We start from the raw sequence: 12,138 nt of genomic DNA on the forward strand, positions 1-12,138 counted from the left end.
CTTCTAAGGACAGGGTCTCCCTGGGCTGCACAGCCGATGGCTGACTTTGGTGGTGGCCTCTTCATGCCTTTGCATGAGGCCAAGCCCGGAGGTATGAATAAGTGGCTAAAGAGCGATCAACCCAGGGGAGTCAAATGCAGGAACTGGAGGCAGCAAGAAGGCCTGGTGTTGGGAGAGCCGGAACAGAGGGCCGCCAAGGGAGAGGGCCAGCTGGCTTTGTGCCCAGCTGACTGGGCAGGGACCTGGTCTGTACCCAGGCCGGGGCTGGAAGGGCCCCTCAGGATCTGGTTCAGGGGTGTGCCTGAACCTTTCCCCTGCCTGCCAGTGACACCTTGGAGCTGACGCCCCCTCCATCAGGACCCGTTAGGGCAGGTCTGGGGAACAGGCTTCAGGGAGACAGGAGATTCTGCAGGGTGGGATGGGCCCCCTTGGCCTAGCAAAGCTCTTTCTCCGTTGCAGTCAGGTGGAGGTGAGAAGAGCCCATCAGGCGTCTTTGAGACCGCTGTCTCCTTGTGTTTTTGAAGTTCGCTGCCTGATTTCCTTTTGGCACGCGCTAAGGCGGCTGCAGGAGACTCAGGGAATGAGATAGGAGATGTTGATGTGAAGAGAGAATGTGGAATTTACAGAGCAGCAGGAAAAGCACTCCTCCTGGAATTCAGACAGCATTTGTCACAGTGATAACGCCTGTTTTCTAAACAAAAGTCCCTCTGTGGGCAAGGTCTCGGAGACGTCTGGAGCTCTTGCCCAGCTCCCCTCTCGCGTGGCTGGATCGTGTTTCCTTGCATCACGATGGGGAGGGTTCGGAGGTTCACGCGGCAAGGCTGGGGCTGGGATGAGTTATCCCTGCTGTTCTTCAGCATGTCTGCAGCCAGCTGACCCTCTGTGACCTCGCAGCCTTCGGTCCAGCTGTGGCGCCTCAGTTTGGACACATCAGTCTCTCCAGGAAATGCAGCAGGCAAGCGCGTCACTTCCTGCCACCCAGACAGTGTGAAGAGCGTCCAGCATACCCTCGCAGGCCCCATAATGTGCCCATCCACTGGACGGAGAGGGCCTCACGCCCCTGGGGCTGACCCTAGGCTCCCCACCTGTGGAGGGAAGGTGGCTCCTGGAGCATTTTCCGGGCTGGAGAGGATTGTGGGGGAAGCCCTTGAGTAGAAGAGTATGGAGGCTGCCCTGGGCAGAGAAGAAAAGTCAGTGGTCAGGAGGGACCACACCATAGAAATGGGAAAGAAAGGCCCTCCCCTGATAGCCTGAGGTTCTGTGTTCACCAGAAGCAGGAGGAAGCCAGGAGGTGGTGAGAGCAGCGGAGGAGCATTAGCTCTACGCTCAGACTGGCCTGGTGGCATCCTGGCTCTTCTGTTTAAGGTCTTTATGCCTCAGTTTCTGCATCTGTAAACTAGGGACATAATGGTGAATCCTTGCAGGGTGGTTTGTAGGAGTCACTGAGAAAACATGACATGAGAGAGTTGACATTAAAGAAACCGGTGGCCATCATCATTATATTATTATGTGAGTAGATTCTTAAGAGTTCAGTGAAATTCCTGGGAAAAATTCCAGAGGCTGTACTTAGGGCAGTTCGCTATGGAGGGCCTGTTCCCAGGTCTGCAGTGTCACTGGGCAGGGACCATGACAGGGCAGCTGGAGAGAGGCTGGGGAAACCGACAGGCCACACCTGTAGGAATGTGGACACCTGGCTTTTGGTCCCCTTAGCTGCCCAGGGCTATAATCATGCCCTTCTCTTGTGGCTTTTGCAAATGTGAAGTGCGAAATTGCCGGGAAGGCCCGACAGACATACAGCAGGCTCTAACCGACCTCTACGTAACTTGTTCTTTCCTCCAGAGGGGCTGGGCTTGCCTGCCTTCAAGGCAGGAGCTGGGGCCCTGTGGAAGCCACCTCCTTGCTGGGAGAGACTAGGCCAGTCAGAGCCTGGGGCCCCTGTGGAGATTGCCGCCAGCACTGATCGCTTTTCCAAGGGTACAGCTGAGTGAGAGGCCGGGCTCTTGGATGTGCTGAGCAGGGTGCTGGGCTGGGTGCTGGTGGCCGGAGTCTGGCGCTGGGGGCGGGGGCGGGTGGCAAGCATGTTCAGTGGGGATGTTTTTATTCACGCTCGGCCTCTGAGGAGCCAAGCTCCCTCTCCCAGTCTGCCGCTGGTGAGAGGGTCAAACAATTATGGGTCTCCTCATTTCCAAGCCAACTGGGAAATTAAGTCGCATCTCCATCAGAGCGCTATTAGTAATTTTCAAGAAAGAGGTAATTGAAAAGAAACTTTTTAATACACTCACCAAATTGGCACAGGGGCACGGGAGCAGTGGGAGCATCTTCCCACCGTCTGCCTGTGCCCCCCGCTCTGAGAGGCCATGCCCCTCTGCCCAGCCCCCACTGCCTCGCCTGGGTCACCCTGCCCCAGCCACAGTGGCCTGCGTGGGCTCTGGCCCCACCTGGGCCTTAACCCAGGCGCTTGTCCAGCAAGCCGGCTGTGTGACCCTTGGCAAGTTCTTTGCCTGTCTGTGCCTCTTGTCTTCATCTGGAAAAGCAGACTTCAGTACCACTTCAATTCCCATGGACATTGTGCTGTGGGAGGGAGATAAATCTAGGAAGTGCAGGCCCCTGTCACATCAGAAGGACTCGATGCCTGGTGGCTGCCACCACTGCCACCCTCACCCCCCACCACAGTCAGTGCTGCTGATACTCCTCAGAGTTCAGTTCATGGCTGTCCCGACGCTCCTGGAACCTCAAATCCACCCCAGGCTCTTCTTCCCCAAACTATTTTTACTCTTGTCTGAAGCTCGAGTTTGGCATATTTTAAAAATTAAAAGCTGCAGCATCTACCCTGGAATAGCAGTATTTCTACTAGCACTGATGATCACAGGAGCCCGCCTTTACCCGGCGTCGGCTGCCAGGCCCTGTGCTCAGAGCCCCTGTGCCTTTCCCATTCGATCTTCACAGCTGCCCTATGCGGTGGGCGGACTTATCCCCGTCTCAGAGGAAGCACTGAGCCAGAGAGGAGAAGCGCCCTCAGAGCTGGGGTTCCTGGCGAGGCCACTGAGCTCTGCTTGCAGGGACTTTCCATGGGAAGGTGGGCTACTGTGGGTGGGCCTGTTGAACTGCAGGTGAGAAACTGTTTTCTGTCCAGCTGGCCTGCAGGCTGAGAGCAGGTGGAGACCACAAAACTTGCATCTGGCCCGCTGCTGGGAACAGAAGGGGCTCCGTCTACAGAGTGACTTGTTGCACAATGAGGGGCCATTCTCCAACGCCTTTGGCATGACCTGGGCACTCTGCGACCCTCTGAGCTTGTCTCCTCAACTATGGAAGGGAGGTCCTGTTGGTGCCTCACAGGGAGTCTCAAAGATGAAATAATAGTAGTGGCTTGGACAGCCCCTCTTCCCCTGCCTTGCCTGGCTGGATGAGCCCTGGAACTTGCTAAGACTTGTGGTCCTGCTCCCAGGATGTCAGGGACTGGGTCAGCCTCCTCCTGCCTGAAAGAGGCCCCGCCCCTGTGTGTGTGTGTGTGTGTGTGTGTGTGTGCGTGTGTGTGCACCCTGCCCCACTCCGCCCCACCAGAAGTAGGCAAGTTCTGGGGATGGGCTCTCTGGAAGGGTGGTGGGCTGGCACTGTTTGACAGATTGGTGGTGAACCTGGGGAGCTGACCATTCTTTTAGCTCTTCATTCATTCAACCAGGAACTTTGACAGCCTTCCCCAGGCTGGCCAGGCCCTATTCCTGTGGCTTCTCAGTGATGAAGACTTGACAAGGGTCCTCATTTGAAAACGATCCAACAGCAAGAGCATCTCTGACAGGAAGTAGCTCCTTCCTCCCAAAGAGCACCGCTCACCTCCAGAATCCACTCTCTCTGGAGCCCCCACTTGGTGCCCAGCCTGGTGGTCTGGCACTAGCTCCCGCCGCCAGTGTTGACTGAATGAAAGGACAAAGCTGTAGATGGGAGGAATGGAGGAAAATCAGGAGAGGGCTAAAGCGCACAGGCCCCTAACTTTTTGGTGAGCCCATGGCCAGTGTTGGGCAGCAAGTACTGTCCCAGTCCAGTGAGCCCTTTCTGCTGCAGGATGGGGGATTCCGGGGCTCCATGGGTGCCGGGGCCTGGGGGCATCCCCTGAACCTCAGTGCCCTGTGCATTTAGTTCCTTCTCTCCTGGAAGTTGTCTCTGTAGAAGGACCCCTCCAGGCCCTAGAGACCTGGCCCAGCGCTCCCAGCTACTGGGGAGTTGTCCATGCTCACCCTAGGTGACAATGAGGGTTTAACACTAGGTCCTTCTAGGAAATAACTTACAGAAGGCAAGCTCAGAGTCTTGCCCCTGCAGTGCTCATGCATGTGCGTGCATGCATGTACACATGTGCTGTGCGGCTGTGTGAGAGCGTGTGTGTGTTTGGGCACATTTGTGAATGTAGGGGTGTGTCTGTGACTGCTTCTGTGTGCATTTGCTTGCGTCTGTATGTGAGTGCATTTCTGAGTGTGCATGTGTTTGGGAGTGTGCGTCTCTGCCTGTTTGGGAGTGTGTTGGGAATGTGTGTCTGCTTGTGCATGGGCTTTAAGTGTGTGGAAGTTTGGGTGCACAAACACTGTGTGTGTGTGTGCATGTGCATGTGTGGGCACAGCCTCTAGAAGGCAGCATGACTGGATGGGTCCTGGCTGACAAGTAGGTGCCTGCTGCCTCCTGTCCCCTCATTTTGGCCCTGCAGAAGGAGGGAGCTGCCTGGGTCATGCTGACTGAGAGGAAGCCTGGTGCTCAGTTCTCCTGGCCCCAGCCCCTAGTGATAATCACTGTTTTCGGGTTGTATTCAGGGATCCAAATCACAAAGAATATAGCTTGGCGGCTCCTAGAATTGAACACCTCGGTGGCCCCATATGAGGCTTCCATGTTCCCAGCACCCAGCTCCAAACACAAACACATCCACTGTTCTCCCTGATGGCTGCCTTTCCATCCCCCACCCCCAGCCTCCTCCTGTCCAGGCCTTGCCTGGCTGTCTCTTGCTGGAATGCCTCATCTGCCCCCATCTCCTACCCTTCCATGCCCTGTGGTGGGTCCCCGAGCACGGGGCCCAGCTTCAGGACCCATAGGGGTTTAGCTGTCTGTCTTCCCAGTTGGACCAGGAGTGCACTGAGGGTGGGAGCAGTGTTTTGTGTGTGTGTCTCATCTTGGTGCCTGATGCAGGCATCAGGGGACCCAGGAGCTGTTGCTGATCACTGGATGACACCAGGGAAGGTGCTCTGTATTTGGGATTTGGGCTGCCATTGCTGGACGACAGCCACACGCTGCCTGCTTCCTGACAGCCAGGAATGATGTGAGGTGGGACATGGGTGCAGTTTCTGGCTTGCCTCTCTCGTGCTCTGAGGTCTTGGGCAAGGCAGTGAACCTCAGGGACCCTCAATTTCCTCATTGTGAATTAAGCTGGTAGCACAGAGCGTTGTGCAGCTCAGGGATGGTCACCAATGGAAAGTGCTCAGCAGCGGGCCAGGTGCCTGTTGGGTGTTCTCAAACTATAATGATTATGTTTGGGCTCAGCCATCAGTGCTGACCACCTACCCTCCAGGCTGCTGGGACCTGGTGGAAGGGGCCTCCTCTGCATGCCCACCACACCGTCCACGCCCTTAGACTCCCACCTGCCGAGCCTGAGTTAACTCTTTGAGCTCAGAGCCTAGTTATGACATCCATTTTTGCCCCACTTGCCCAGGCCCAGACTCACCAGGAATCTGCATTTTGTCTGGCTGCCTGTGGCTCTGTGGCAGCGAATCAGAGACTTTTGGAAAGCCTGCCAGAGTGAACCTGAAAGGCAGCCATGGATACCACCCTGGGGTACGTTGGTGGGCTCTGCCTGTGTCCTGGCTTTGCAGGATCTCAGCCCTCTTCACTGTGCTCTGCATGAGGAGGCGGGCCGGCACAGAGAGTGGTGGCAGCAGCTCAGGCAGGACCCTTCCCTGTGTCGCTCAGCCCATTGGCAGGTGTCCAGCACGTGCCGCTTGGGTTCAGCACTCTTCTGGGCCCAAGGAATGAGAGCTATGCTGTGCGATTGGGGCGGACACTTGCCTTGCTCCTCACCAGCTCTGTGACCTCGGGCAAATGGCTTCAGGTTTCTGAGGCTTGGCCTCCGCATCTGTAAAATGACTGGTGAGGCTGGCTGTTTTCCAAGCGTCCTTCCTTTCAACTTAGAGTTCTTGATTCTAAGGGGTCGATCAAAGGCCTTCCTTCTCAAAGACTTTTGCCATCTTCTGTGAAGACAGAAGATGTTTCTGTTGAAAGCCAGTGCTCTGGGAGAGTAGTGTGACTTAGTGCGGCTCTGACTGCCCTTCCAGTCGGGAGGCTGTGAGTCATTGGGCTGGAGCCCAGAGCTGTCTTAGGGGGCCTTCTGCCTGTCCCAGCCTTAGGCTGTCTGATGCAGACCTTGTGGCCACAGGGTCTGTGACTAGCAGCATTCAGATGCTCAGCCAAGCACTGAGTCTTCTGCCTTCCAGAGGGGCCACTGGGCTTGCTGGACCAGGACTCCTCAAAGTTAGAAGGGGAGTGGAAGCCAGCAACCAAGTAGGTGGTGTGGCCCTCCCCACTTCCTCCATGGCCAACGCCCACGGTGCTTGCAGACTGCACAGTCGTATTTTATGCCTCCAGTGCTTGGATTTGTATAACTCTCTCCTGACTGGCCTCCCTGCTGTCAGGCCATCCTTGTTTTCGGAGTGACCCCTGTCAAATGCTATGAGGTCATGCTACTCCCTGACTTAAACTCCCATTGCCTAACGCACACAGATGGAGGGGGATGCAGGGTGATGGAGGCTGGGTTTTGTCTCTGTGCTAGGGCAGTTTGATTGATAGAGATTGCCTGGTGCCCTGAGTGAGAAGGACCCCAGGGGCTGCTGGGAGAAGCACTGTGATTGATTAGCAATGCCTGCCTTGGACCAGGAGAGGGTAGACAGTGCTGGTCCTGTGTGAACCTCAAGACTGGATGCCATTCAAATTCTTGGGTAACCCGCAAGGTCTCCTTTCTCTGAGGAGCCTTCCCTCCCCATCTCCAGCTCCCCAAGACTCAGCACCCTGTTCTGCAAGTCACTATTGGTCTTGTGTTTTGTTTGTTTGTTTCCACTCAGCAAGCCTCCAGAGGTCATAGAGCACACTTGTTTTGCTTTCTATATGGGCTAGTGTGGAGCCTCGCAGCCAGGGAGCACACCAGCATCATCAATGGCAGAGGGAATGTTTTAACTCTGAGTCCCCAGGAGCACCCCGGCTGCCCACTCCTGGCTGAGTGATAGGAAGGAGGCCTGCTGAGCCCTTCGGGCCTGGCCATAGGCCCAGAGGTTCCCAGGTCTGCCTGCCTGACCCTTGGCCCTTGTTGGAGAAGGCGGAATGAATATCTTCTGCTGTGGACAAATGTTTTAAGAGTATATTCCTAATAATTATAAACAATTTGTGCTCAAGGTAATAATGTAGAAGTTCAGGAAAACATAGATGAAGAAGAAAGAAGCCATTGACCGTGGCATTCTTCAGCAGCAATGCTGGTAAGAGGCACATTTCCTTCTGGGGCCTCTTCTCCAGCATGCAGCCACCGTTAGGACAGCCTCCTGCATTTGCAACTTTGCATCTGGGTTTCAAATTCTTGGGTACCCCGCAAGGTCTCCTTCCTCTGAGGAGCCTTCCCTCCCCTCTCCTTGATATTTTAGCATAAACCCTTCCCATGTTATTATATCAATGTGTAAATATTGCTCTCAATGTCTGATATCCCATTGTGTGGACATGCCGTGATTACTTAACCAGCCCCTTATTTTTGGCCATTTGCAGTTGTTTTCACTATTTTGACAGTATGTGCTTTCCTGTGACAAACAACTTTGTGGTGACAGCTCTTTTGAGGTCCCTGTGGAGTAGACTGCTCGAAGTGTAACAAGTGGGTCAGAGTGAGAACTTTGTTAAGCTCTGAATAAGTCTTTTGGGGGAAAAGGGGAGAAAGAGCCAGTCTTAGAGCGTAGGCCTGTAGCATCCGGGCCCGGGTAGGATATCGGTGTGCCTGATGGTGAGTGGCATTCTGAGACTCTGCTTTTCTGAGAGGAAAGCCAAGCCCTGCAGTGTGAGGGGGAAGAATCCCACACATTATGTGTGGCATCCTGTCACCCGCGGTGACAGCCCAGGCAGGGATGGGAAAGCCGTTGGGGGCTCCTCATTCAGGCACTGCAGCCTGACGTGCTGATGTTGGCCTTGTCCCTGCTTTCAGATGCCATGCCGGCCCCTGATGCTGTCTGCGGCTGCCAGCTGTGCCAGGCTGGGCATTGGTTGGTGCTGAAGAGGGATGATAGGCCCTGCGCGTCTGTTGCGTGCTTGGGTACAGTAGCGGCACAGTATCTGCCCTCAGGTAGCCCCCAGTTGGCTGTGGGGTGAGGGAAGTGATTGGGCCAGCAGAACTGCATGTGCATAGTCGCAGGTGGCAGGTGGCAGGCAGCACGGCCTTGGGGCTCAAAGTGGGGCAGGATAATGAGCTCAGCCAGGCCGCTTCATGGAGGGGGAGATGTGCTTCAGCGGTGTTGGAGGCTCATTAGGAGCTTGCTGGGTTGTGCCTCCTGGCCAGGGGGACCTCACCTACCTACCTCCCTTCCCTCCCTCCCTGCCTCCCTCCTTCCTTCCTTCCTTCCTTCCTTCCTTCCCTCCCTCCCTCCCTCCCTCCTTCCCTCCCTCCTTCCCTCTCTCCTTCCCTCTCTGGCTTCCTCCCCCCTTTCTTCCCTCCCTTCCATCATCCACTACCCTTCACTTACAAGCAGCCCAATTTCAAGGTGAGGAGCAGGCACCCCGATAGGATGTGAGGATTTAGAAGTGCATTGGAGGCAGTGTGGATGCGGCCGCCCTGCTGTCTGTCCAGATCTCAACCCAGAGTCTGGCTGAACTGGGCCTTCCATTCACCAATAACTAGTACAAGTGAAAGATGCTCTGCTGAGAAATCTGGCAGCTTTGGGTGCATTTGAGGTAAAGACTGCATCCCCTCCCTGCTGTTTTTGTAAATAACTGCTTTATTGAGATGTAATTCGCGTACCATAAAATTCACCCTCTTAAAGTGTACAATTCACTGCTTTTTAGAATATTAACAAAGCTGAATAACCACCACCACTATCTAAACCACTATCACCACATATCTAAGTTCTACACATTTTTATCACCCTCTCAAAAAACCCTATACCCATTAGCAGTCGCTCCCCATCCCTGGCAGCCACTAATTTACTATCTAAGATGACACCTTTTCATGTGTATTTATTTGCACAAATTCCTAGACAGGAAGTGGAAAATTGGTAACCCGTGGCCTGGTCATCACCAGGCTGTTTTACTATACAGGAAAATTGAAATAAAACCCCTGTTCTTGACTTTTTTGAGGGTTTGGTTTACTGAGTCCTCATCCTTGTGTGGGAAAAGCTGGCCAGAGGGGAGCAGCAGCTGTCTGCTTTTGACAAGGCCTGTGTGCTCCAGTTTGCCACAGTCCTCACCACTCCCTATTGCCCCAGGCTTGCCAGCCCTGCTGCATGACTCCATTGGTATGGGAACTGGCAGTCCTTGCCTGAGACCTTTGCTTCCTCTGAGGGGTGACACACTGTCAGCTGTTTGCCAGCCTTTGCACCCCAGATCCTTTTCTGTGATGTGGCCCCCTGCCCAAAGCCCGGGCTCCCATGAGAGCCCACCAGACTCATGCCAGCCTTAAAATCTCTTTTCCCAAGAGCTAGTCTGTGTGGGTGGTCCAGGAAGCATCCTCCATGTCCATCTCTACACTTGGAAATGCTGCCCCTTGCCAGGACTGGTCGACATAGGGACGTGGGTATGCCGGGACCTTGTTGTCTTGCCCACTTTCCTACCTATCACCTCCCCTTCTGTGACAGCTCCTCCACTCCACACTAATTTAAGCTTTGTGTAGATATGGGCCCGCTCAGCATTTCAAGCCATTTAACCTGCTGTGATTGAAGCTGTGGCAATTAAATTTTAATTGAGATGCACGCTGCTTAAGCAGACACAAGACAGCTACAGCTATTGCTAATTAATTTTCTTCCGAAATGACAACATTTAATAATTATGCTTCGTGACGCGTGTGTTATTTATGTAGCCTCACCTCTCCCGGTGCCGTTCAGTGGTGTCCATCAGGGGTAGTTGGTGGTGGTGTCACGTGTGCCTGCTGGATGGCTTCTGATGCGAACAGTGCGCTAATGCTCCGGAGGTGCTGAGACGCCCTTCCTGGCGTTTGAAAGAGCCCCCCAGTGCCTGCCTCGGGGTGGAGGCATTTTGCTCCCCCATGCACCTCTCAGCAGAGCGCCGAAGGGTTCTCACTAGGGAGAGTACCCCCCAGAGTAATTAAGAGCCCCTGGTTTGCTTAGTTAGGGAATGGCCTTCCTAGTTAAAAAACCTGATCCTCCAAGGCAGGGGAGCAGAGCGCTAGAGAGAGCCTGGGGTCTGGAACTCTCTGTGGACTTGGGTTTGGAACATGAGGGTGGGCATGCTGTCAGAGCTTCCTCACCTATAAGGTGGGAAGGGGAGTGTTCCCCTGGGGGGAATGTGAGGCTGGCAGATTCCATATGCCATGTCGTACAGGGGCACAGGGGATGGGCAGGAGGCATCAGCCAAGTAACAGCAGACCCGGCCTTCCCCCGGGCTCCCATCCCTTTGTGTTCTGCGGCCCTGGACCCCAGGCCTCCTCTAACGCTCTCGCCCTGGCTGGCACAAATCGCTTTCCTGGGCTTAGCCTGCCCAGGGGCTGGGATGGTCCCATCAGCAAGGCAGGGCCCCAGCTAGCCCTCTGAACTGGATGCTGTTTTTCCAGGGATGGAAGCTCCTGAGCCCGGACCACCCCCATCAGGTGCCTGGGCAGGTGAGGGATGAGATGGCAGGAGGCGATGGCATGGAGCACCTTCTGGGCACTGGGCCTTGACACATATTGACACATTTAATCTTCGCAGCACCGGACATGTTGTTCCCGCTTTCTAGATGGGAAACTGAGGGTCAGAGAGGTTGGGTTGCACAGCTTGTAAGAGGCTCTATTAGCTTTGGAACCCAGCTCCTGACTCCTTCCAGTCTGTCAGCTTCCAAAGGGAGGCCCAGTGGGCTCTGGGATGCTTGGTTGTGAGTGAGGTCCAGGGTGTGCTGAGTCTAGCCTGCCTGCTTGCTCTGGCGTGTTTGGTGGCTGTGTAGATGCATATTTTTCTTCTGGGTTCCCAGTAGACTTCTAGCCCTCCCTCTGCCTCGAGCCCTTTCCTTGCCCTAGACACATTTGCCTGGGCGGTGGAGTGGGGTCTGATTGGTTGGGGGCATCACAGTGAGCCTTGGGTGGAAGCTGGGGTCATCCCAGTAAGAGGGTGGAATGCAGGGGGACCTCACCAAGATCCAGGACCCAGGATTATCCCTGGACTCTGGTTCTCCAGTCCAGCCCTCCCTGTGAGGCTGTGAGGTTAGAGGAAGCAGCTGGGTCAGGGGCTGTGGAGGCCTGGGGCTGAGCCGGGGCAGAGGCATCCTAGCCGGCGTTCTCCCAAGAGGAGCCAGAGGGCCGAGTGGGGTCTTGAGGGAAGGCTCCAGTGGGCCGGGGACTGCCTCTGAGCCACCCTGTGAGTGCAGCGTGTAGAGGGCCCAAGGGTCTGCGTGGGGAGCTGTGGGCCAGGACCTCTCCCACCTGCAAACTCCCTCCTCTCACAGCTGGGAGCTCCTGTCTCCAGAAGGACCCACTGCCACCTCCCCAGCAGTGAGAGGTGGGCACCTGACACGGGGCAGGGGGCGGTGCTGTCAGTGGAGCTGTGTGCACGCGTGTGTGTGAGTGCATGGCTTTTTGAGCATGTGCAGCTGATTGCGTGAGTGTGTGTATGATGTGAGAGTGGATGAATGTGAGAGTGGGAACCAGCGTGTGTCTTTAGGAACATATGACTATGCGTGTGTGTGATAGTGTACAAGTGTGTGTAAGCGTGAGCCAGAGTATGACTGTGTGTGTGTGCTGTGTCAGTTCGAGTGTGTTTATGTGTGAGTGAGGGTGAGAGTGTGAGTTCCTGTGAGTCCAAGGAGATGTGTGAGAAGCCGTGTGTGAGTGAGTGTGGGAGACGGAGTGGGCGTGTGTGGGGGTGAGGCGTGTCTGAACGAGATGAGGGACAGGGAGGTGGTGGCACCAGTCCCTGTTTCCAGTGCCGTTTGGGCTGCAGG

At 55.2% G+C, this 12,138-nt stretch overlaps 1 protein-coding gene across 3 annotated transcripts in view, besides 2 other annotated features; it reads left to right on the plus strand.

The window, feature by feature from the left end:
* GLI2 (GLI family zinc finger 2) overlaps positions 1-12,138 on the plus strand; it is a 256,786-nt gene that overhangs the window by 29,437 nt on the left and 215,211 nt on the right. The gene's annotated exons all lie outside the window — the stretch shown is intronic.
* Positions 3,229-3,764: an enhancer, noted in NCBI's record as "H3K4me1 hESC enhancer chr2:121526109-121526644 (GRCh37/hg19 assembly coordinates)". NCBI's record gives its function as "activates a minimal SCP1, AML or CMV promoter by ChIP-STARR-seq in primed H9 embryonic stem cells {active_cell/tissue: H9 hESC(primed)}" and the evidence as "EXISTENCE:reporter gene assay evidence [ECO:0000049][PMID:30033119]".
* Positions 8,279-8,789: an enhancer, noted in NCBI's record as "H3K27ac-H3K4me1 hESC enhancer chr2:121531159-121531669 (GRCh37/hg19 assembly coordinates)". NCBI's record gives its function as "activates a minimal SCP1, AML or CMV promoter by ChIP-STARR-seq in primed H9 embryonic stem cells {active_cell/tissue: H9 hESC(primed)}" and the evidence as "EXISTENCE:reporter gene assay evidence [ECO:0000049][PMID:30033119]".

This window comes from Homo sapiens, chromosome 2, assembly GCF_000001405.40.
Source record: "Homo sapiens chromosome 2, GRCh38.p14 Primary Assembly".
Taxonomy (NCBI): Eukaryota; Metazoa; Chordata; class Mammalia; order Primates; family Hominidae; genus Homo; species Homo sapiens.